Below are 25,781 nucleotides of genomic sequence, written 5' to 3'. Positions count from 1 at the left end.
GCAAAATGGAGTCAACTAAGGGAGATAAGGAAAGAATAGCTCCAGAAAGAGGCTAGTATCATTACCAAGAAAAAAAAAGGGTGGTAAATAAAGCCTTTTATGGTCCCACAGTGGGCAACTGGTTTTGGTAATCAGGAAATCAAGGCTATCAAGAAAGGCAGTTCTAGCAGTGTTTTGGGGATAGAAGCAAGAAAGGCAAGGGTTAAATGAGTCAGGAGTAGATGGGGGAAAGGGATAATTCCTGCAGTAAGTTGGAGTAGAAATGTTTGTTTAATGAATGATGAGACAAAACATGAAGAGTTACAAAACTTTAGCAAAGTTTTTTTTTTAATTAAAAAACAAAACCTGAGTGCCTTTTAACAGAAGAGAAAAGCCCAAAGATGAGTGAATGGGAGGTAAGAAGAAAGGACAGAGAGGAAGGGAAGTAAGACAGAAGGAATGAAAGGGCAGCTGCAAAGTCCCAGAGGAATGGGATCTCAAAAGAAGAAAGGCATCGGTGAGAATCCAGAGCGCTCTTGAAGTAATAAAATAGATAACAATCATAAAAATGTTTCCAGTAGTAGAAAAAAAAAATTAGCAACATAAATTGAAACACTCTAACTGATATATTATGGACATCACAGATGATCAAAGAATAGGAAACTTTACAGAATGCTAGGAAGGGGGGCATTTAAGAGGATACCGAAAAAACTATGAAGCAAGACCAGAGAGTAGAAATTAAATTAAATGCAATTTAACAAACTTTAAAGCAAGATCATGGAGGACGAAGTTTAGTAGGTGACACTTTCTAAACTTTCCTCTCCTGATCTGACATCGTTGTACAGTATTTTTTTTTTCCTGTATTGGACTTCTATGCCCATTCCCTTCCAGTACACTTAGCCAGTTCCCCTTCCCCAGCCCACAAGATATTTTGTTCTCAGGCTTTCTGTCCTAGGTTCTTGTCTCTCTTCACACAACTTTTTCCTTGTAGTCTCCTCTACGCCTTGGCTACCTGCTACCTACACAATCACCCTGAATCCCCTGGCTCTCTTCCTAAGTGCCTATGTAGGATGCCTCTGGGAAATCCACAAGTACCTCAAATTTGGTGTATCTCAAAGAGAACTTTTTATTTCCCCACTCAAATCTAATCTACCACTGACATTTTTGATTCTGGTTAATGACACCATCACCTACCCAAAGTAGCCAAGCAAAAAACTGGGGTTTCCCTGGAATGCTTTCCTTTCTCTCCTCGTCAGTCTCCAAATTCCAGTTTACCTCCTTCAGTTTCATTTTCTCCTTCCCTGTTACCTTAGTTCAGGCCTTTATCTCACAGACACAAGCGCAGGAAGGCCTGAAGGCCCCGCCTCCAAGCGTGCCCTCCCTTCACTCCACAGACTCAGATGCCACGGAGGTCCATCTGAACTGCAAACTTCCTCACATTCTTTCATCTCGAATGTTTTTAACTTCCCTCCCTTCACTCCACAGACTCGGCTGCCAGGGAGGTCCATCTGAACTGTCAACCTCCTCATGTTCTTTCATCTTGAATGTTCTTAACTTGGCTTACAAGGCCCATAAGAACTGACCATGATTTACACCTTTGGTTTCATAACTGGCAACTGGCTCCTCAGCCCCAAACCAACTAGTATGTACACTTGCATGTACACACAGACACACATATAGTACTCTTCTCAGTCACAACATGATGCTATGAAAACACATGGCCCCAAGATCTTAGCAGCTTACAACAACAAAGCTGTATTTCTTTCTCACAATAACATATCATTCTGTGAGTAGCTGGAGCTCTGATCTAGTCATCTTCATTCTGGTACTATGGTTCAAGAATGAGCCCCAGCATGGGACACACTGATTCACGGATGACAGAAAAAGGCAATGACAGAACCATGAAATGGACTTCAAGCTTCTGCTCAGAAACCGTATCTGTCACTGGCCAAAGAAAGTCACATGGTCAAACTTGATGTCAAAAGGGCAAAGGCCATATAATCCTCTTACAAGGAGGACAGTGAATAACGAGGAACAGTACAATCTGCAAGCCACAAAATGGGCCTGCATATTCACACATGTCTGCGCACAGATTCAACCAAATTGAATGTTTTTAAATAAGGTCTCAAGCCTTACCCCTTTGCCCAGCTATTTCCTACAAATTTTTCAGGATTCAGAATAAACATCACTTCCTAAAATGAACTCAGTTAAGCTTCCCTGACTTGACAAATCCTGGAAAGGTCCACCGCCCATGAGCTACCTACCGGGTCTCCCCTCTTCACAGCCCTGAACACACTCTGCTTGCTTGCTGTGCCTGTCTTCCACCACAATGAGATTCTGCCGCAGCTGCAGTGCTCCTCTTGCTCAGCGCGGCACCACTGTGCTAGTACAGTGTGTACACACAATGGGTACAAAGAGGACACATCTCTGCTGCAGGAATGCCGGTCCCCTCTTCCCCATAGAATATTCCTTCTCATCTAGAGACTCCAGTCTGTAACCATGTGCCTGATTCCCACCACCCAAATAGAGTATTTACCATACTACTGCCATTTTTCCCCAATTTATCTCCCATACTGAAATGGGAGCTTTTTGAGAAAAAGACCATGTGTCAATTAAGTGTCACATGCTCAGCAAAACTTACATATAGTGGATGACCACTCAATGAGTGAACGTGGAAATGGAGACAGAAAGGAACACATGTACTGAGTGGGAGGGCTAGGAGTCAACGTCAAGCCCCAGATCTCAGTGCCAGTTACCGCTCCCTCTTCTTAAGGCACAGCAAGCTCATTAGGTAATTGTTCACTTCCTCCCTTGAGATCACAGATTACTTCATTCCTTCATCTCTGACAAAGTCTGACTCCTAACAGGCTCTCAATAAATACCAGTCTGAATGAATAAGTACATTATCCTCATATAAATCCCTACAATTGAAGAAAAATGTTTAAATGTCCATAATTTTAATAGGGCTAAGCCATTACTGGAAAAAAAAAAAGTAAACAACAGAAACAATTTCCCATGCTTCTCGGCCCATGAAACAGGCACATAACTATTTCCGAAACGTTTGCTGTTCATAGGCATCAGTTCATGAAAACAATAATTTCCATTACATTTAATGTAAAATCTGAAGTGTTTCTCAAAAACATGCATTTGTAATTACATACTAAAATAAAATGTCTAAGATGCCATTACACTAATAAAATGTTAACATTACTGATTTATCAGAAGCTACTGTTCAGCAGCTACACAAATTATAAACAGGTAGCACTTCATGGTTGGGTGCCACTTGGTTAAAAAAAAAAGTTTTTGAAGTTAAATTATATTTTATGCAAGAATATTGGCCACAAGAATCTAAAGGCAAACGCTACATTAAACCGATAGAAATAAGGAAAATATAATGGGTGAGCAATTGAAGTTACCTGCATCTAAGCATCTTACAACACTAGCAGAGTGAGTAGTCTTAGTTTATTCTCATCACAATATCAGGTAGGCTAATATGTGGTTCTTAAAATCAAATATTCAGAGCACCCATGATTCATGAAAGAAAAATATTCCTAACTTCCTACCTAGAAACCTCCTCCAGGGTTACTCGCCAAGCTTCACTGTTTCTTACAAGAAGGAAAAACAAAGGCTCATCACCAGAGAAGATGGGCTGTAGGATGTAAGAAGGTACAACAGGCCACTGTGTCTGAGATTCACCCTTTTCATTTGGAAATGCAAGTATTTGTTCAGTAGATGTTGAGGAACTGTTGGTAATAAAGATAACCTCTCGAAGATTGTTAAAATTCAAATGTTATCTGGGGAAAAATTGCTAGTTAATGTGTAAATAAAACTTTATGACACAAAATTAACTGAGTGATGGCAGTAAGGAGAACCAGAGTCTCCAAGAGTCACAGAATAAACACATTTTGTTTATTGTTTAATTGTAAGCACAGACCAGGGAAGGGCTAGGGCAACATCCAGAGCAGAGTCAGGCAAGGCAGCACCAAGAGGAAGCCCAGTAAGAGGACAGGGACTAAGCGAGATGGCGAGATGGCATGAGCAGGCACAACGATCTCCACAAGCGCAGCGTCACAGCCAATGCTGTCAAAAAGGCATCTGAACCTTGGGTAGGTCTTGACCTCCTTTCTTTCCTATAGGCCTAAGAAAGTAATCAGTGAAGCTATGAAGACTTCTTCACTGAACTCCTCATTCATATTCCAATTTCTGGATGCTATATAAGATACAAGGTTTGTATATAGTTACAAAATAAAATATGGCATGTGTCACCTTGGCTACAAAACACAGAATCTACTATCACAATGATAAAATTATAATAGGGCTTTAAAAAGTCTAGATGAAAATCAATACATCATGTATTTATGTATGAAATAAATATATATGCACATAAGTATATGATCCAAATAAAACAGAAGAGATGTTTTATTACATTATGCCTGTGGTTCTTCCTGAAAATTACATTCCAAATTTTCTACTTGGATATTATTTTCCTATAAAACTTCCAAACACTGGTTTCATTGCAGTGACCTTAAATTTTTGGATTTTACAAACATAGTGCTTAAGAGAAGGTTCCAGAGTCAGAGGATCTGGGTTCCAATCACTGCTCTGTGGCTTACTAGTTTTGCATACCCTGAAGCAAGTTATTTAATCTCCCTGTGCCTTGGGTTCTTCATCCAGAAATGGGAACAGCAAAAGGACATACCTCACAGGAGAACGTAAAAAGATAACATACACAAAGCATTTACACTAATGTCAGGTATATATCACATGTGTTCACTACATGTGATGTATTACAATTACTATCAGAATAACTTAGGTGACTTTAAAAACTAGATTCCTGACAGATGCATGGCTGGTTAAGAAACACGATTCAGTACTAAAGATGTAAACAACTAATAAGCAGATACAGCTAAACATACACGCAAACTTTTTTCCAAAATAAAATAAAATGTTAAAAAAAAAAAAAAAGCCTGAAAAGCAACTCATTTCTTCAGATGGCAGAACACTAGGTAATTTGTTACCTTCATTTCTGTTTGTATTTTCCAAATGCTCTAAAATAAGCATATTTGAATAATGGAAAGAAGCAAATATTTTTTAAATGTATCTTACTATAGTGAAGCAAACATACTAGCTCCTTCATGTCTAATCATATTTGCAAGAATATACTTTAAAAATAAGCCATATCATAAATATTTTTTAATGTTTTTCCTGATTTACTAGTCTTAATTTCACTGTCCTTCATATTCTCAAAACTAACAATGTCATGAAGGTAATAAAATATATTTTTTATAAATTAAAATCAGCAAGTTTGTCACAAAAACCACTTTAATTGTACTATGAACTCACTGAAGTCACCTTTGCCAATCTTAAATTAAAAACACATTTTTAAATATTCGAGGTCATAAACATTAAATTCAGTAAAAACACTGTCCATGGTACTCCTGGCAGAGTTCTGAATCAACGAAAGCTTAGCTGCTTTACAAAAGAATCATTACAAATTCATATATTCACCAACTACAATTTTTTATCTGTATTATATTGTTCTGATAAATTAAAACAATGTTTGCTAATAAGCATGATGCACTAAACGGTTAAAAATTGTGTACCATCATAATAGTTTAGTAATGCTATCTATAACAATTAAATTGGTGACTTAAAAACTCAAAATGCATTTGCACTCATCCATAAATTAACAACACAATATATTTTGTGCAAAACAAGGTGCCACTACGTAGAAATAAAACTAATCTTAAGTGATGCTAATCTTAAATATAAATGCAGTACTCTGACATTTTGTTTTTACTACACGTATTTTTTTAATATATCCACATATTATTTTGAAGTATTAAAAATCCATATGTGCGTGATTGGTCTTAGAACATAAAATACTGTCTGTGTTTGTGTGTCTGTTTCTCAGGAAATAAGCCAAGGGAAAATACAACTAAACATAGTAGGAGAAAAAGACGTCTTTACACAGCCGATGGTTGGCTAACTCAAGAGTTTATATTTGGGAGACGGAGACTGAAGGGGCAGACAAGTGCCAGAAGGCCTAAGCCACATTAAACAACAGCATAACTCCACATTGTGCTGAATACATGAGACGCCACTGCTCCCTGAACTACAAGATCTATAAGTAGAACTTGAAAATGTCCCATAAGTAGGTGTGGCTTAGGTCACATCCCGAGTGAATTCAAGTAATAAAACTTGATGGTCATCACTCTAATAGCTTGTGGCCAGTATTCTCAAGTCACAAAAATGTAAATGTGTGCATCTTAGCACTGATAACTAAAAATTAAAAGGAGGCATTTATAAATACAGAAAATATATAATGCGTAAAATAAATGTTGAAATGTATACTTCCATAATAATGAGCCCTATGTTTACATTTTAAATATTATACGTTTATATTATAGCCTTACTTGGAAAACCACATAATATCTACCTTAGAACACACATATTTTTTAAATCAGCCCTAAAACTCATCACTAAACATTCTAGGGCAGCAGCTCATAAACTGCAGTCCATGAACCCCCAAGGTTCTCTGAGACCCTTTCAGGTCATCTGTGAGATCAAAACTATTTTCTTAGTAATATTTTGACAGTATTAGCCTTTCTCATTTTGTTGGAATTTGCATGAATGGTCAAAGCAATGATGAGTATAGCTGATGGCACCTTAGCACCAAATCAAGGCAGTAGCATCAAAATGCACTATATACAAAACGTATTTTTTACTACCATGCAAACTTTTTTAAAAAGCCAGTTTCACTTAAGAATGTCTTTGGTACAACAGAAAAAAATGACTGATTTCCTTGAAAATTGAGTACGTTTCTTTGTTCAATTATGTGCCAAAATGGGAGGCATACATAAAGCCCTTCTGCATACCACAGCTTGACAGCTGTCTCAAAAAAAAAGTATATGAGCAATTGTTTAAGTTGTGAATTGAATTAGTCACTTCTTTCATGGAACACCATTTTTTTACTTGAAAGAACAACTATGCTTATTTAGGCTTAGATATTTGACAGACATTTTGTCAAAAATGAATAACGCAAGCTTATCTCTTCAAGTGCTGCCTATGACAGTGATGTCAATAATAAAATTTGAGCTCTGAAATGAAAATTTTTTAAAAACTTGTATCCACTACTGAGAGTTTGAGAGCTTCCCTATACTTACAATTTTTCTGATGAGATCAGTGGTGATATTAACAAAGGTTAACATTTTGTTATTGTTTAAGGAAATTTATCAACATTTAGTAGATCTGCATAACTCAGTGAATCAATATTTTCCTAATAATCAACAAGAGGGAAGAAAATCACACGTGAGTAAAAGAACCATTCAAAGTGCAAGGCAGACAAATGTTTTTCTTTTTTGAGATGGGGTCTCACTCTGTCACCCAGGCTGCAGTGCAGTGCAGTGGCTCCTTCATAGGTCACTGCAGCCTTGACCTCCTGGGCTCAAGCAATCGTCCTGCCTCAGCCTCCCAAGAAGCTGGGAACACAGGTATGTGCCACCCTGCTTGTTAATTTTTTTTTAAATTTTGGTAGAGACGGGACCTCACTGTGTTGCCCAGACTGGTCACAAACTTTTGGGCTCAAGCAATACTCCTGCCTTGGCCTCCCAAACTGCTGGGATTACAGGGATAAGCCACTGTATAGAGTATGAAAAGTATTTAAAAGAATCTTCCAAAGGAGGACAGCAGAAATGAAAATAAAGTAAGTTCAAACTAGAATCCTTGACACAACTGGTTTTATTCCCAATGCCTCTTAAAAAGAATCGTTCCATGGGTGGCAGGAGGGGTGTTTTCATGGTGTGATGCACCGTGACTTGTTATTCAAGATGTAGTCCAGTGTTCCATCTATCACGTTTTATACCTTTCGAAAAAAAAAAAAAAAAAAAAAACCGAAACAACAACAACAACAAAAATCATTCCAATTAATGGCATTCACAGCAACCTGGATGGGACTGGAGACTATATTCTAAGTGAAGTAACTCAAGAATGGAAAACCAAACATATGTTCTCGCTCCTAAGTGCGAGCACTTATGAGGATACAAAGGCCTAAGAATGACACAATGGACTTCGGGGACTCGGGGAAAAGGGTGGGAAGAGGATGAGAGATAAAAGACTACTAACTGGGTTCAGTGTACACTGCTAGGGTGATGGATGCACTAAAATCTCACAAATCACCACTAAAGAACTTACTCAAGTAACCATATACCTCTTGTTCCCCAAAAACCTACAGAAATAAAAAATTTAAAAAAAAATTCCAAGTTTTTCCCAATGAAATTAATGTAAAAAGTGTAATGTAATGTAACCTAATAACTCATTAAAAAGCTCGTGTAAAATCATATTATTGAAAAACAAATGTTCTTTGCAACCTATGTAAAATCATGGTATACTGTATGAGCATCTAGGAGTCTGCAGCACTCAGAAGTTTATTTGGATAATAATAACAATATTTAAAATAACATATTTGAAAGATATGTCCTCAATCTATGAATTTTATACTAAGCATGTTTATAAGAGATTATAAAACTTAAAAATACAATGTTTTTAAAACAGTGGATAGTGTCTGAGAGTGACCATATTGTTACTCCCATTTCATTTTCTCTACTTAACATACAGAACCGAAGTCAAAGAGGAGGAGGGAAACTGGCAACCTCAAAGCTCAGTACCAAAAGCTGGTTAACAGTGAAAAAATTGACAGAATTTTTGTTGGTTCTCCTATAAAAAAATCAGGAACTAGAATAATAAGTAGACCACAATGGAAAGTACCACTATGAGCAAACAAGAATAAAGAGAAAGCAAATTCTTGGAAGAACCAAAAGTTTTAAGTCTGCAAAGAGCAGAAACCGCCTGATTTTCCTTTAATAGAACATGTATGAACTCAAGCAAGAGAACTTGCTAGGATTCTGAATAGAACAGCCCACTGCACCACTCAGCCAATAAAACACCCCCCAAACAACAAACAAATGAGCATTTTTTTCACGGATCATAATGTTGGGTCAACCTTTCTTCTATTCTGAAAATCAAAGGCACTTTCAGGTGGAGTTTTAGGAGGCAAGGCACGACTTCCTAATTTGGAAACAACCTATCCTGCTGTTGTTACTATAGTCAGTGGCAGAGCTAGACTAGAGCTAGCCTCAACTGCAATATGTACTTTTCAGCCTGCTTCCACCCTACCGAAGAGGAAGATGGTTTTTAAAACACCCACAAAAAAGTCTGAATATTCTGTGAAAATGGTCTTGTCCTGTCAGCCTAGGTCAGTCAGGCACTAATAAACTTCAGGAAGTTTGAAACTGCAGAAACTGAAAAAACAGTGCCAGCAAGTCCAACCTGTTCATACCTAGAGTTAAAGGAGACAACTCCAGTTTATGGCTGTTGTCCTGGTATAATTATTAATAGTGCCCACTTGTACTCACAGGGTTCCACATAGCCACTCTAACTACAAAGGAGTGACGCTTACAAGGTAAAGCAAGTTGTGTATATTCAGCCTAAAAACACAGCAAAGTGTAAACATGTGCAACCAAGGTTGACATTGCTTATTTTCTGTAAGCCATACAATTTTAACATTAAATTTCTTGTGAGCAAAAGCACAAAAATTTTGGCTCTTTTCCAGCCATAGTAAACTATTCCATTTCAGTTCCTCAAAAGAGTTTCACTCATGACATACATGCATAAATTTGTAAGTATAAAACTTCAAATTATCCTTTTTGGAAATACACTGGGAAAATACCTTCCTGCTTGTATTTGAACCACCTCTCTATATGCTTATTCTCACTTTATTAAGCACATTCACTTTCTAAATTAAATTCTAATATGGTTTTGGTCAATCACATATGTCAAAATGATTAGTGAATTTTATGTTCTTATGGTTGCTAGAATAAAATCTCAACCAGATGACTTCAGCTAGGCAAAGATCTCCCTTGCCACCTCTCAGCCTGCTTTAGCCCAGTTACACACAACGAGAAATGTTCAGAAAAATCTTCTACTCATTAACAAAGACGGTACAATTCTTAGAACACGCACACTCCTGCTATGAACTCCCACATAGAGAGACACGAACTGGAAGCCCACCGGTAGATTTTTCAGGCCCTATCAGCACATCAGCGTTAGCCAACTCCGACATGCCCAGAACTGGTTAAAGGGTCTGTGGGATTTGGCACACTGCTCAGTATCCAACTTACAAGTGTAAATGTAGGTCAGACAGATACATTTGATCTCTGTCTTAAGTATCTACAAGGTGAATGGGTATATCCTATATACTATCAGCCAGAAAACTAACAGAAATAGCAAACATTTGAACAACAGCAGAAATCAAGACTCAATCTAACCTGAAAATAATTTTCAAATGAGTTCAGTCTCATATGTTCAATAACTGCTACCTGCATATACATTTTATTTATAATAAAGAAACATGTTTATATCAAAATAAATGCTATCCTACTTATTAGTACACACTGTCTGACATTACACCAAAATTCAAGTCTGGTAAAACTGTTTATAAACAAATTAGTCTATGCTACCAGATTAACCAACACCTAGAAATAATGCTTTATACACTACAATTGCTCAATCAAATCCTTAATGACAATCATAAACGTTTCTTAAGCTTCTCACCAATTTGGTATCATATCCTAATCATTTATGATCCCTGTTTTTCAAGAATATGAAAGACCCACTTCTGCTAGTCTGCCACTATTAATTTAACCACAATCACAGTTTGATAGTGTTATAAAAGTCTACAGTTATAACACTTATTTTCCATCAGGTCTGCAAATTATGTAAAATAAAATTATTTTTCACTGGCAGGAAGACAGCAAATTGAAACTAGCCTAGATGTAGTTTCAACTTAAGATGACTCAACACTGTTAGATAAGAGCTGTCCCTCAGACTTACAAGAACACACCGAATCAAACATAAAACGTAACCAGTTATTAAAGGAAATAAAAGATTTTTAAAAGGTTATAACCACCAATGAGATTCAACTTATCAAAAATAAAAAATAGGGATGCCTATAAATACTAAAAATACATCATTGGCAATCATCCATCTCATTAAAACATCAGTCACCAGAAACAGATCTTCAGCAGTACCAATATTTAAAAATACAACTATTGACAGCCAGGCACAGTGGCTCATGCCTGTAATCCCAGGACTTTGGGAGGCCAGGCAGATCACCTGAGGCCAGGAGTTCAAGACCAGCCTGGCCAACATGGCAAAACCCCGTCTCTACTAAAAATACAAAAGCTAGCCAGATGTTGTGGCACATGCTTGTAATCCCAGCTACTCAGGTAGCTGAGGCACAAGAATCACTTGAACCTGGAAGGTAGAGGTTGTAATGAGCTGAGATCGTGCCACTGCACTCCAGCCTGGGCAAGAGAGTGAGACTCTGACTCAAAAAAAAAAAAAAAAAAAAAAAAAAGTTTCAAATATAGTTCAGTTGTATGATAAAGCATAGTCACAAGCTAATATTAGTCTGGAATATAGATGTAGCTATAAGTTATGCAATTATTACCACTTCACCTGAAGACTTCCTACTCCACCTCTGCTGACAAAGTTATTTCTTACACACATCTCCAGAAAACATGAATCACCACATTACTTCTCGATTAATCAGAGTATTAAAATGTAATGTATTCACCTGTAATAAAGCATATGTAGGTGTCCACATAAATTCTGGGTTATTTTTACCATCAGGGCAAGAAGGAGGCAATAAATCCAATAAAAAATAAATGACTTTAAGAAGTATCTCGTGAAGCTAAATAGTCAATTACCTAGCATAATTTCTGCATTTAAGTGTAAGCTTCTTGCAAAACTAAGAATAAGACATGAAAACATAAATACTCACTGGCCTAATAAACACTCTTCACTACATTTTTAGAAAGCATATATGCCATATTTTGTCATGAATAAAGGTATATACAATGAAGGCCATATTCAACATTCTTTCCACACAATATTTATTGAGCTCCTACCATGCAAGATACAGAACAATTATCCAAGAAAATTCTACACTCTTGCCTTCGTGTAATAAGAGGGAGACAGACATACCAATGACAATGACAAGTCTGGTAAGTTAAAACCAACAGGGAGACCTTTGGATAACCAGAGAAGCCCTCTTCTAAGGAGGTGACAGGAAAGATTAAAAGGACTCTGCTGCCATAATTATCCAGGAATCCCTAAAAGAAAACAAGCTGTAACATTAAAAATAAGCAAAGGAGGGACTATACATACTTTAAGGAGTTTCTGTGAGCTACAGCTTTTCATAGTAATCAAGACATTAAGTCAGCTTAGCATCAATCTCCTGGTTATAAAATAACAACATCAGGTTCAGATCAACTCTCATTTTACAAATTCCAAATGAATCTAGGATCCAAGTGACAAAGAGCCTGAAAAATACTCCAGTGATAGCCTGCTTATTCTTTGTAAGCCCTTCCTTTACCCACAAATGTGAATACAAAGGAAAAAGCAAACTTAGCCAGGATGATGTTAAAACATACTCTAGTTTTCTTAAAAAAAGAATGTAATCCAAAGAACCAAGTTTATCATCTTCCTAAACACAGAAACCACAAAATTATCAGTGGTTATCAAAGCTGCCTGAAACCACCAATCATAGATGATTAATGAAGTTATAAAATTTGAAAACAGATACTTATCACTGTACCCAAAAAAAAAACAACAAAAGAAAACCCACAACTATACTCTCATACACATAAAAAGATTACCCAAGTAAATAAATACAAGGCTTAAATCTTATTTCTACAAATCAACTCCTGCAGTGAATTTGTTCAACATCTACTGAACATCTGATAAGGACCAGTACAATGCTTCTGTTCTTGCAGAAAACTAAAAAATTGGACTTGTGATGGCCAAATAGAGTAAAAATAATCATTAGATGGTTAAAAAAAAAAATTCACACGAGCTTAGACAAAGCAAATTGAAACTGTTGGCCTTGAAATACTGGCTGAGAGAATTACTCATATTAAGTTTACCTACATCATAATAAAAGATACAATATGTTAAATGCAAAGCTTAACTAGGACCAGAATAAATTTAATAGTACAGGAAAGTTCTCGAGAAAACAAAATAGAAATGTGAGCCAGCCACTATATAGTAAAAAAGCTAAAAAACCAATATATGGACATTCTTAAAAACCATTCATTTCATTATGAAAGGCTTCTAATACAATTCTGAAGAATAATTTCTAAAAATGGAAATGTTCAGATATAAGTAGGGAGAAAAATTAGGAAATGAAATATATCATCTTTTTTTCCAAGTCCTTCAATTCTTGTTTTGCTTCAGTGTATGTACAAAGCAAACTTTCACCTACAGTATAACTGAAAAAACAGCTTTCCAAATGACAGGCCAATTTTAAAAACTAGTCATATCACTAAGAAATAAAAAGTTTCAATTGAGTGCTTAAAATAGAATTTAATTAAATCAATGAACTATAATGTTTCTGATTTGAGATTTTTTTAATGCTAACTCAATTCAAAATCCCAAAAAGCTGAATTCTCTTTATTAAACCGAAAAAAGATTCCTTTCCACCAGACTTGAGAAATCTCTCAAAAAAAAAAAAAATCCATTCAAACAAAAAAAAAAAGCTACACACCAAGAAAATGTTTTATGGTCAACTTTTTTTACCTTGTGATAAAAAGAAAAATGAATTCATTATTCTAAAAGAAAACATAATCCTGAAACTAAATTATCATGTCACCTTTCTAAAGATACACTAGTCTATGAACGAACACTTAAGTACATAGTACTAACTCCCTTACTAGAACCTAACTCATAAAATCATTACAGAAGATGAATGAATCAGGAGTAACTTAACATAACATCTATGCTCAAATTGACAACCTGAGCCTAATGGCGTGTGTCAGTATTCAACTCAGTATTAAGACAAATGGCTAGCTACCCACGTCAAGTGCAGTCACAGGTACAGATGAAAACAGAAGAAATAGAGTCCTTCCCATGACTGGCAAAAACTCAAGAAATCAGAGAAGCAATAGTCAAATTCTCTCAAAAACATAAAGTGGAATTTAATGATAAAAGGATTACATTTCGTAAGAATGTTCAAATCTGCCAAACATGTTTTGTTGCCTAGGAGCTAGTATTTTATAGCAAGTATTAACTATAAATTACCTATTACAACAAATCAAAAATAGACGCTATTAAAATGATTTCCTAAACGGGCACAAATATTGAGTGAAATTTTTTTATGCTGGTAAAGTCTGTGCAGCCACCGAATGAACAGAGCGCGGAACCGACCCTTGCGGAGCGATTTACAGGGTTGCTCCCCGACCCTTCACCTCCCTCCCCTCTCCACGGAGCCCTTCCTAGTGGACTTGGACTCAAACATTTTTTTAAAAGCTGCTCGGAACGCTTTCAGCAGCTTTGCTATAAACAACCCCCATTGTTACCAGGCCAGGAGCGAGCGTGATTTCCTCCTCCTCTCAGGGAGCCAGCCTGGGGCCGGCGCCTCCCTCCGGGCAGAGGCCGCCGCAGAGGGCCCTTCCTCGCGGCCCCGAAGGTGGAGAAGGCGCGCCTTTCCTCGGAGGCGTCCGACTCCGGGCCTGTGCCATCAGGCAGCCCGCACCTCCCGAACTTTGTGATACTGACTTTCCCCTCCCAGCTGGCAGCCTGCAAGTTTATGAACCCGAAGCACAGCGCGCGTCACAGGCTCCATCCCGGCCACGGCGAAGGGGCGCCGCGAGCCACAACCGGGCTGCAGGTGGAGGGCGCCGGCCCCGCGCGCCGCCGCGCCCCCCGCGCCGCCGGGGATGAGGCCGGGGCCGCGCCGCGCTCGCGGGGGTGGGGGCGGCGGCCCAGGTGAGCCACCAGGTGAGCGGCCGGAGAGGGGAACAGGTGACTGCCGCGCCCCGCCAGCCCCCGCTCGGCCCGCGCGACCCCGGGATACACCGCGGCAGGGGGACGGGGGCTGCGGGGGACGCCGGGGCCCGCGGTGGGCCTGGGGGAGGGGGAGGGGAGAGAAGGGGCGGAGGGGGGAGGGGGAAAGGAGGGCGGGTCCGCGGCTGGCGGGCGGCGGCGGGGGGGAGGGGCGGGGCGCGGCGCAGCGGGCGGGGGTCGCGCAGGCCCCGCGCCCGGCGGTGCTCACCTCGGTCGGCTGGCTGATCTCGAACAGGTCCAGCCGGTTGGCGTTCCAGTGGTGGATGATGTCGGCCAGCTTCCGCCGCTCCTCGTCACGGCCGCCCGCCGACATGGTCCTGGCCGCGCCTCCTCAGCCGCGCGGGGCCGGGGCCGGAGGACGGGCCGAGGACGACAGGTCCGCGGGGGCCCGGCGCCCCTCGCCACCCCCCGCCGGCCGCCTCCGCCTCCGCGGCTGCCTCCGCCTCCGCGGCCGCGCCGCGTCCTCCGACTTGGCCTCCGCCTGGGGCTCAGTCCGCGCCGCGCCGCGCCGCCTCAGCCCCGCCGGCCGGTGTGCGCCCGGCGCCCGCCGCCCGCCGCCCGCACCCGCCCGCGCCCCGCCCGCCGCCGTGCGCGCCGCCGCCCGCCGTGCGCGCCGCCGCCCCGCGCGGCGCCGCCGCACCTCCGGGCCGCTCCACTAGGTGCTGCTGCCGCGGCCGCCAGGGAGGGAGGTGTCGGAGGGCGGGCCCCGCGCGGTGCTAGGGTTCCGTCTGGACTGGCGGTGGTGGGTCCCAACCGGCGGTACCGGGTTCCTTCCCGACCAGCGGTGCTAGGTTCGGTTCGGACGCGCGCTGCTGGATCTAAATGGGCAGTGCTGGGTCCGATGGGTGGTGCTGTGTTGGGTCCGGACGCGCGGTGCAGAGTCCGGACGGGCGGTGCTGGATCCAAATGGGCGGTGCTGGATCTGGACGGGCGGTGATGGGTCCGATGGGCGGTGCTATGTTCGGTTCGGACGGGCGGTGCTAGGTCTAAATGGGCGCTGCTGGGTCCGATGGGCGGTGCTGCGTTCGGTCCGGACGGGCGGGGACGGGCGGTGCTGGGTCCAAATGGGTGGTGATGGATCTGTGGACGGGCGGTGCTGGTTCCAGACGGGCGGTGCTGGGTCCAGACGGGCGGTGGGTCCGATGGGCGGTGCTAGGTTCGGTTCGGATGGGTGGTGCTAGGTCTAAATGGGCGGCGCCGGATCCGATGGGCGGTGCTGGGTTCGGTCCGGACTGGCGGGTCCGGGTCTGGACGGGCGGTGCTGGATCCAAATGGGGGTGCAGTGCTGGATCTGGACGGGCGGTGCTGGGTCCGAACGGGCGATGGGTCCCATGGGCGGTGCTAGGTTCGGTTCGGACTGGCGGTGCTGGGTCTAAATGGGCGGCGCTGGGTCCGATGGGTGGTACTGGGTCCGGACGGGCGGTTCTGGGTCTGGACGGGCGGTGCAGTATCCAAATGGGCGCTGCTGGGTCCGGACGGGCGGTGCTAGGTTCGGTCCGGACGGGTGGTGCTGGGTCTAAATGGGCGGTGCTAGGCTCAGCAGGGGACCGGTGGGCGTGGCGGCACAGGTACGGAGCGCAGGGCCGGTGGAGCGCCCTCTCCGAAGGGCCCTGCGCTCCCCGCGCTCGCTGCTCCTCCTGCCCGCGCATTGCCCCGGGGCTGCTGCGTGTTTCTTCCAGGGTGATTCCTTTCCGCTGGGTCACTTCAAAGCCGACCTTTTCAAGCTGTTTTCTTCCGCGGAGGACACGTTGTTAGGCTTTGTGTGCATTTCAAGGGTCATGTTTTCTGAACCGCGCTCTGCCGCTCTTGGGGTGTTCGAGCCCCCACACTGCTGTGCGGTGTTCCTCTCACAGAGTGAGGTTGGAGGGTCCCACTCCCTTTGTGTGTCTCCTTAGAAAACGCCTCTTCTCTCAGACACATCGTTATCTGCCAATTCTTCGCAGACGTAGAGAACGGACTGCAGAGTTAATAAACGTCGAGGGGAAGCTTTGATGCGCCCCATTTGGCCCTGAGAGATGCCACGTGATCGTCATTTTAAATCCTGTACGTGTCCCCGTGGACGTGGAAACCTGAAATTAATTTCAGTAGCAAGCTTTGTGAATTGTAGGGATTTTTTTTCATAAGGTGTCTTTTTTGTAATTGCCCCTCCCCTCCCCCACCCTTTGTTTTGGCTGCAGAGCGCCATCTCTGCAGTCTCCCCACGCCGGGTTCAGTCAGGCGAAGTTGCGTTATCTGTGATGTGTTGTAACAAAAAGCGTTTATCTTTGAAACACTAAGGCAAGTAATGAGAAGAGTGAACTATATTTGACAAAGCCTTTTTATTTTTGTCATTACTTTTTTTTCCAATGTGGAAATAATTTTTCTCTCCACCAACTGGATTTCCTCTTTTGCAGACAATTAAAGAATTCTGTCATCCCCACTGGGTTCTGTCTTTTCTACCGCACTTGTCCAGTACAGCTACATAAGGAGGCTTCTCAGCAGAGGAGCCTGGGGTGTTGAACCAGTGCCATGAGGGAATGAATTATTCAATAGATCGCTAGTCTCCTTTCTTAAAATTAAAGTGTGGTGACTTGCAGAAAAGCATCTGTGTCTAAATGTCATCTTCGTGTTCTAGCACTCGGTTTCTTTATGCCTTTCAGTTCCTGGGCTTCCCGATGGACTCGAGTTTTTACTATGTGAGCATCCCGGTGCCTGCACAGCAAGGACTCTCATTGGGTTCCACACGTGCTGCGCAGATCCCTGACGCAGCGTTCACTGAACCTCAACTGCAGGAGCTTCATTCCTGAGGACGCTGTTACCAAGAATGACTTGCCTCTTGAAGAATGAGTTTGCAAAGCCGGCAGTTAGATTGCTGATGTCCAAAGTAAGTATGTGTAGCATCACTAAAGAGAAAATTCAGGATTCCTGGAAAACAGTTATGGGCTCTCTGCAGTGTTATTTTTGTAATAAAAAACATATAGCATATGTGAAATACCTACTGGGTGATGCAGGACACATAGAAGGCTCGAAATTAATGTGAATCATTCTCGTTTTTCTGACTGTCATTAAAAGTCCCCATTTGTATTATGTATGAGTGGTATATCAATATCTAAACTACACTTTATTGTAGGTCCCAACCAACATTAGTTTATTGACAAATGTTTAAGAGCAGCCAAAAATTCATAGAATACCTATGATTCTTAAATCATGAACACTCCCATAACTGGTATATGTTTAGGACATGAAAATTTCCAGGCTGACAAATAATTTCGCTGTCATCGGTCAAGACTCCAGGATGATATTCTGAGCCATATGTTAATTTTGATAACCACCTAGAACAATAAAAGGTAAACATGCTACCATCTTCTATTCTCATTGCACCACTGGATTCTGGTACATCTAAAAATTGTACTTAAATGATATCCAAGAAATGCTGTAAAAAACAAAATAGGGCCGGGCGCAGTGGCTCACACCTGTAATCCCAGCATTTTGGGAGGCCAAGGCGGGCAGATCACGAGGTCAGGAGATCAAGACCATCCTGGCTAACACGGTGAAACCCCGTCTCTACTAAAAATACAAAAAAAAAAAAAATTAGCCGGGCATGGTTGTGGGTGCCTGTAGTTCCAGCTACTCAGGAGGCTGAGGCAGGAGAATGACGTGAACCCGGGAGGCGGAGGTTGCAGTGAGCTGAGACCGCGCCACTGCACTCCAGCCTGGGCGACAGAGCAAGACTCTGTCTCAAAATAAATAAATAAATAAAAGAATGGGCTTTTCTGTTATTAATTCCATTTTATACATGGTGAGACTGAAATGCAAGATAAAGGACTGGACTGAAGCTAAACAAACCTGCACTGGGCGAGGTTGAAAAAGACCTTTTTAATCTATAAGTCGGTTTTTGAAAATTCAAGTTTCTACTTTATAATTTTAGTTTTCCTTTTAAACGTATATTATTGTTAGTTGCACTGTTCAAAAAGTTTTACAGCTTCTATTTCAATCAGCACTGGTATACTAATATTTTTAAGTATCTCCTATCTAAAACCAAAATCTACGTAAAACCTAAAAGTACCAGGTAATAGAGGACAACAGAGCAAGACTGTCTCTTAAAAAAAGAAGTATCACATAATAGGAATAAATATGAGGACAGAAAGTAATAATATTTTTGAATTTCTGATTAAACTTTGCACTTACTTTAAAATTTTTTTCGAAATATTATGAAAACCAGGTTCTGAGACCAGCCACATGAAATAAACCTTTTCCTGCCCCAATTTTCACAGCCTCTAGAAAATAGTAGGTACCAGGGAAAAGATTAATACATCTAAAAAAAAAAAGATACAAATATATCAACTATGTTTAACTATATCAACTATATTTAGTACCCTAGGTCATTTAATTTTCTAGCCACCAATAAATTCCATATTTTATTAAATTAATCAAATTTTGAAAAGTGTCAATATTACTGTATAAATCATCTTACAAGTCCTTTTAGTAGATATATCAATTTAGAGGATGGTCTTTAGCAAAAAAAGTAAAGGAAAAGGATTTAATAAAGGTCCAATAGCAGACCTTCTAGGGCAGGCAGCCTTCTATAGTAGCCCATGCATGTGAAAGTTAATCTAATTAGTTGATCTATAAAGTTAAATAACCAAACTCTCCTTTGCTTAACCCATTGCTAGAAAGGCCAGTGTTGTTAATTTCATTTTTTAAACAAACAAGCAAAAAAAATTCTAGAGGATGAGTTTTTCATAAGTAGGGTATGTGCTACTTTATTGGAAAATGAAGAAATATATCTTTCAACTCTGCTTCCTTCATTGCTTTCCCGTGTTCCTAATATTTAGTCACATTTTAGGTTAGAACTTTCAGGAAGTGAGTTTTTACACAGAAATTAGTGCTATAAACAGCCCTTAAAATGGGAATTTAATCGTACTTATTTAAAATATATATGTATATAATCTTACCAACCCAGAAAGACATGTTCTCTGGCATTTTATAAACTAAGATGCTACTGGAAGGAAAAAGCTAAATCTGAAATACACAAACAACATATTTACACTGTGATATGGTTTAGATCTGTATGCCAAAGCTGAATCTCATGTCAGATTGTAATCTCCAATGTTGGAGATGGGGCCTAGGAGGAGGTGATTGGATTGGATCATGGGGGCGGATTTCCTCCTTTGGTGCTATTCTGGTGATGGAGTTCTCACTAAATCTTGTTGTTTAAAAGTGTGTGGTACCTCCCTTCCCCAGCTTCCTCCTGTTCCAGCCAGGTAAGACATGTCTGCTTCCCCTTTGCCTTCTGCCATGATTGTAAGTTTCCTGAGGCCTCCCCAGCCATGCTTCCTGTACAGCCTGCAGAACCATGAGCCAATTAAACCTCTTTTCTTTATAAATTACCTAGTCTCAGGTATTTCTTTATAGCAATGCAAGAATGGAATGGACTAATACACACTGAATGCAAAGAAATGAAATGGTTGTGTGTGTGTGTGTGTGTGTGTGTGTGTGTGTGTGTATGGAAGGTATTAGAAGGGGATTATACCGTAAACATGGGTCACTTACCTTTTACTGTGTTGGAGAATTGCTTTGCACTATCTTCTTTTTATTCAGTACATGTTGCAGACTAAGTTAAAATGTGATCATATATATCCTGAAAATAATGAAAGAATATCAGGCTGTGAGTAGATTTGTGAAAGGGCGTCTCCCCTGCCTGCCTCCTTGTCCTCCTTTCCGCATTCTGTCCATCCTCAGCCGTGCGAGGTGTCGCTGCATGCTGCTCTGGAAGTGCTCTCACTTCCAGAATTTCTCCGTCCAGTGGCCCATTTCGTCAGTTTCGGTTTCCCACTTTGAAAACCGATCAACTGGCCGGGCGCGGTGGCTCACGTCTGTAATCCCAGCACTTTGGTAGGCCGGGATGGGCAGATCACGAGGTCAGGAGATCGAGACCATCCTGGCTAACAGGGTGAAACCCCGTCTCTACTAAAAAATACAAAAAATTAGCCGGGCGTGGTGGCGGGCGCCTGTAGTCCCAGCTACTCCGGAGGCTGAGGCAGGAGAATGGCGTGAACCCGGGAGGTGGAGCTTGCAGTGAGCCGAGATCGCGCCCCTGCACTCCAGCCTGGGCGACAGAGCGAGACTCCGTCTCAAGAAAAAAAACCGATCAACTAAACTGTACTAGTTCTTTTGTTGCCATCTCCCCATATTTTCCTGATCCCTTAACACTTGGCACTTTGATTTTAGCTGCTACCTTGAATTTGGTTTTGACTTGAAATTCTGAATGTGCCTTTTTCCTCACGAGTTCTGTTCCCCGTGGTGTTGGGGACCCATCTTACTGATGTTTGATTCCGTGCCCCGCTTCTAGCAGAGAGCACAGTTTTTTGTACCTAGTGGATGTTTAATAAACGCTTATTGGCTAGATTGAAGATGGCTGTGTACTGGGGTGCGGGGTAGGGGTACCCAGCACACAGCTTCTACAGCTAGTCTAGTCCCAGCGGCTGAGACTAGACTTTACTCAGGTGAGTGGTCTTTACAAGGGTAGAGAGTCCACAGTCCGGAGGCCGTGGAGGTTTTCCATCCAGCCTTTCACCTTTTTTCTTGATAATAAAAGGTACAGTTCTAAACAATGGGTCTAGAAGAAGAAAGAATTGTGCTTGCCTCATCCCTAAAAGAGAGGGCTTGACCTACTGAGCAACTTTAATATGACTCTATGATCTCGCTGTCATTAATAGAACAAAGGCCAGAAACATTTAGGAGGCGTTATGGAAACCAGGTGCTAAAATGAACTAAATGTCATAAACCTAATTCCCTCCCCAGTTTTCACAGGTTCTATAATATAGAAAGTACTAGGGAAAAGAGGAGGAACTTTATACACCTGAGAAGAGCAAAGGGTACAAATATATCAACTATTATTTTTTACATCTTATGCCCTTTTCTGCTAGAAAATTATATGTATAATATATAATATATGCTGAATGTATAAATTTTGCTAGGAAACTAGTATTTTGAAATGCAAACTCCCATTAAATTTTATTTTAACAAATAAAAATGTTAAATGAAGGGGAATGTACTATTAACATGCTATTTACCAGCAGTAAAAATAATAGAAACAAAAAAGTGTTGAAAAATGTGTTGTTCATGGCAAACCAATGAATGGAATACCCAAGGACTTCTCCCAAGAAAAATATTTTCTTTATCCGCTAGTGTCTCTGGAAATAAAAATTACCAAGTTACAGGGTTTTGCTTGTTTTTGAAAATAGAGTGCAGCTTAGACATTTTTTCAAGTGCTTTCAACATTTGCAGTAGTTCTATGAGAAAGGAGAAACCTGGCCTAAGGACTTCCGCTAAGATGGTTCTATAAACATGTACCCTGAAGCACCCTTACCACACGCACATACCTGCTCTAAATATATGCCAATGGTAGATGACAAATAAAGAGGGAAAACGTAAAACTGTAGGAGACTTGAAACAGCATGGGCACGGCTGAGGATCAGTGTTGGGATGGAGATGCATGATGGTGAGAAGGAGCTGAAGGAAATGTCCTGCTGGAGTCTGGAACCCAAAGGCAGATCCTGCGAGGAGCGGGGCGCTTGTTGGGCAGTGGGGACTATGATGGGGACCACAAGTGCTCATGAGAGGAGAGGAAGCTGCTGCCAACTGCAGCTGCCGGCACAACTGACATGAAGCCATGTGTCTGCGGGAAGAGAAAACGTGCATGTGGCCCCCTGCCAGGAACTGCCATGCAGCAAGTAACTGCATCTGATGCCTTCAACCACGGCAACACAGCTTGTTCCTGGACGAGGGCCCCACACGGACGAGGTGCCTTTGTTAAGCAGAGGTGTGAGCAGAGAGACACTGAGAAAGATAGACAGTAGAGAGAGAATCTCCCACTTACGATGAGCTGGCAAAGAAATAATTACCATGCACGTGAACACAGCAAATGCTAAGGGGCCACCCGAATCAGCAACCATTCTGAAAAGAGCTTTAAAATAAACATGTTTGGAAACCTTGAAGAAATGTATGCAGGAATAACATGCATCAAAAGGGATAAGAAGTTATGAAGAACTGGCAGAAATATATTATCCTAACTGAATTAACACAGAAGCAGAAAACCAAATACTGCATATTCTCCTAAGTGGGAGCTACACACTGTGGACACAGGGACATAGGGATGGAAACGGTGGGCAGTGGAGTCCATGGGAGGGAGAAAGGGGCAAGGAGAGAAGAACTGCCTACTGGGAACTGTGTTCACTCTTTGGGTGAGGGGTTCGATCAAGGCCCAAACCTCAGCATCACACAGTAAATCCACGTAACAAACCTGCATATGTACTCTGACTCTAAAAAAAAAAATAAGGGGGGGTGGGGGCCAGGCACAGTGGCTCAAGCCTGTAATCCTAGCACTTTGGAAGGCCGAGGCGGGAGGTCAGAAGTTCGAGACCTATCTGGCCAACCTGGTGAAACTCCGTCTCTACTAAAAACACAAAATTGGCCTGGCACGGTGGCTCACGCCTGTAATCCCAGCACTTTGGGAGGCCGAAGAGGCCGAAGTGGGCGGATCACCTGAGGTTGGGAGTTCCAGACCAGCTTGACCAACATGGACAAACCCTGTCTCTACTAAAAATACAAAATTAACCCGGAATGGTGGCACGTACATGTAATCCCAGCTACTCGGGAGACTGAGGCAGGAGAATCGCTTGAACCCAGGAGGTGGAAGTTGCAGTGAGCAGAGATCACACCATGGCACTAGAGCCTGGGCAACAAGAGCAAAACTCTGTCTAAAAAAAAAAAAAAAAAAATACACAAAATTAGCCGGGGGTGGTGGTGTGTGCCTGTAATCCCAGCTACTCTGGAGGCAGAGGCAGGAGAAACACTTGAACCCAGGAGGCAGAGGTTGCAATGAGCCAATATCGTGCTACTGCACTCCAGCCTGGGCAACAGTAAGACTCCGTCTCAAAAAAAAAAAAAAGACTGGCAGAAATAATAAAACAAGAACATAAAGAAATCCAATCGAAAAGAAAAAAGCTGAGAAATGCATCTGGAAAGTAAAATGAGTGGAAAGAAGAAAAGATTCATAAAAGCGAGAGATCTTAAGGAGCAAGAGCTGTAGGCTGAGGGAGTTAATCTCATCTCGTCAGAATTCCAGAGGATTAGAGAGAATGATGGAGAGGCATAATTAAAGAGATGATCGCTGGGAATTTTCCAGAATGTAAGAAGCATAACAGTCTTAAAATTAAAAGTGCTTTCAAATATCAAGCAGGACACATGGAAGTCAATTTGCACCTGAATAAACCATAAGGCAACTCTAAGGTAAAGCTCAAAAAGGAAATGCTGAAAGTCACCTGAGAAAGAAAAGGAGAAAATTGCCTGAGAGAGAAAGTTCCTGTAAAAGAAGGAAAGAGAGTGGACTCAAGAGGGGATCTGAAAACCTGTCTCTGAGTTTGAGACAAACCACAGATGAGAAATCTGAGGCCCAGAAGTGTCCCCTGCTCATGACTCACCTACACTTGTCTATATTCCAATGCCCTGTTTTGGTAAAACTATTTCCTGATTTTACCACCACTGCAGAGAAGGGCAAACAGGTGAGTGACCTCGAACAATACAGCTAGAATGTAGCAATACAGCAGACATGGCAGTGTACAGGGAACCTCTGTAATTATAGTTATGTGGTTGGATTAGATCAATGATCCAATCTGTAATTATAGTTATGTGGTTGGATTAGATCAATGATCCAATGGGTGATCATCAGAATTTCCTGGGGAGCTTTTCTTGCAACATTTTTGTTATACAAATGTGCAGTGATACGAATAGTATCGAATACGAATAGAATGCCAGAGGAAGTCCCTGTCCCCACTCCCCACTCACCACCTGGCTTCAGTTGTCACAGCCTGTTTCATTTATCCCCTTCCCTCTCCCTCCGCTCCTGGATTATTTTTAAACACAAATCAGACTTTACATAATTTCATTAGTAAATGTTGCAGATGTATCTTCAGAAGACACTCTTTAAAAATATATTTTCTTCATATCGTTTTCATACTTTGAAAAATGACAATAATTCCTTAAAGTCATCAAATATCAAGACACTGTTCAAGTTTCAGAAAACTGTTTCAGCATACACATCCCTTCAACTCAGTGGCAGACACAGAGAATCAGAGTCTCAGGGCAAGTCCAACAATCTTTTATTCTCAGTCTCCCTGAGTGACTCTGATGTTCAGTTGAGTTCGAGAATCACTGGCTCAGATGACCTTGTAGGTTTGACCTTGAGACTCTCCCAGTGTCACACACCTCCTTTCTCCTAGGGGAAACTTTCCACCAATTCCTAACTAGCACAGAGATCGACTCTCTGTGGTCAGAGACATTGTCGTGGGAAAGTAGTCTTGGGTTAAGCGCCACAGTTCCCAACCTTGAGCTCCATCTCTTACACTAATTGTAGGGCAGTGAAGGGTCTGTACAGGTCTGAGACTCAGTTTCCTCAAGTGAAAAATAAACATGATGGCTGGGCGCGGTGGCTCAAGCCTGTAATCCCAGCACTTTGAGAGGCCGAGGCAGGCACATCACGAGGTCAGGAGATCGAGACCATCCTGGCTAATATGGTGAAACCCTGTCTCTACTAAAAACACAAAAAAATTAGCCGGGCGTGGTGGTGGGTGCCTGTAGTCCCAGCTACTTGGGAGGCTGAGGCAGGAAAATGGCATGAACCCAGGAGGTGGAGCTTGCATGAGCCGAGATAGCGCCACTGCACTCCAGCCTGGGCAACAGAGCAAGACTCTGTCTCAAAAAAAAAAAAAAGAAAAAAGAAACATGATGATGGCAACAGACCTTCACTGCCCACCTTACAGAGCTGTTATAAGGATAAAATTAAAGTAAGGCATATGAATGTTCTCTCCAAGTATGCATTCACATAGAAATGTTTTCATTCTTCATTTGAATGTTGG

General features: G+C 41.8%; 1 protein-coding gene and 1 long non-coding RNA gene across 54 annotated transcripts in view, besides 4 other annotated features; one reads left to right on the top strand and one right to left on the bottom strand.

Moving 5' to 3' along the window:
• AFDN (afadin, adherens junction formation factor) overlaps positions 1 to 15,765 on the bottom strand; it is a 145,460-nt gene extending 129,695 nt beyond the window's left edge. For 47 of the 53 annotated variants that reach the window (XM_047418788.1, XM_047418789.1, XM_017010878.2 and 44 more), the window contains exon 1: positions 15,092 to 15,765. In XM_047418788.1, the coding sequence (XP_047274744.1) occupies positions 15,092 to 15,196 (105 nt within the window). In that variant the 5' untranslated portion in view covers positions 15,197 to 15,765. Of the gene's footprint in view, positions 1 to 14,396; positions 14,695 to 15,091 lie in introns of those variants that run through there. The other 6 variants (NM_001366321.2, NM_001386888.1, NM_001410951.1 and 3 more) reach the window with 2 other exon arrangements.
• Positions 15,266 to 15,465: a silencer, noted in NCBI's record as "silent region_17793". NCBI's record gives its function as "represses an Ori minimal core promoter by ATAC-STARR-seq in GM12878 lymphoblastoid cells {active_cell/tissue: GM12878}" and the evidence as "EXISTENCE:reporter gene assay evidence [ECO:0000049][PMID:35858748]".
• Positions 15,533 to 18,439, top strand: AFDN-DT (AFDN divergent transcript). The gene is made up of 2 exons (NR_027906.1): positions 15,533 to 16,926; positions 17,523 to 18,439. It is a non-coding gene; the product is annotated as an AFDN divergent transcript (long non-coding RNA).
• Positions 15,616 to 15,695: an enhancer, noted in NCBI's record as "active region_25461". NCBI's record gives its function as "activates an Ori minimal core promoter by ATAC-STARR-seq in GM12878 lymphoblastoid cells {active_cell/tissue: GM12878}" and the evidence as "EXISTENCE:reporter gene assay evidence [ECO:0000049][PMID:35858748]".
• Positions 15,726 to 15,795: an enhancer, noted in NCBI's record as "active region_25460". NCBI's record gives its function as "activates an Ori minimal core promoter by ATAC-STARR-seq in GM12878 lymphoblastoid cells {active_cell/tissue: GM12878}" and the evidence as "EXISTENCE:reporter gene assay evidence [ECO:0000049][PMID:35858748]".
• Positions 16,380 to 16,449: a silencer, noted in NCBI's record as "silent region_17792". NCBI's record gives its function as "represses an Ori minimal core promoter by ATAC-STARR-seq in GM12878 lymphoblastoid cells {active_cell/tissue: GM12878}" and the evidence as "EXISTENCE:reporter gene assay evidence [ECO:0000049][PMID:35858748]".

This window comes from Homo sapiens, chromosome 6 (assembly GCF_000001405.40).
Source record: "Homo sapiens chromosome 6, GRCh38.p14 Primary Assembly".
NCBI classification, from domain to species: domain Eukaryota; kingdom Metazoa; phylum Chordata; class Mammalia; order Primates; family Hominidae; genus Homo; species Homo sapiens.
This window is presented reverse-complemented; position numbering and strand designations above follow the sequence as displayed.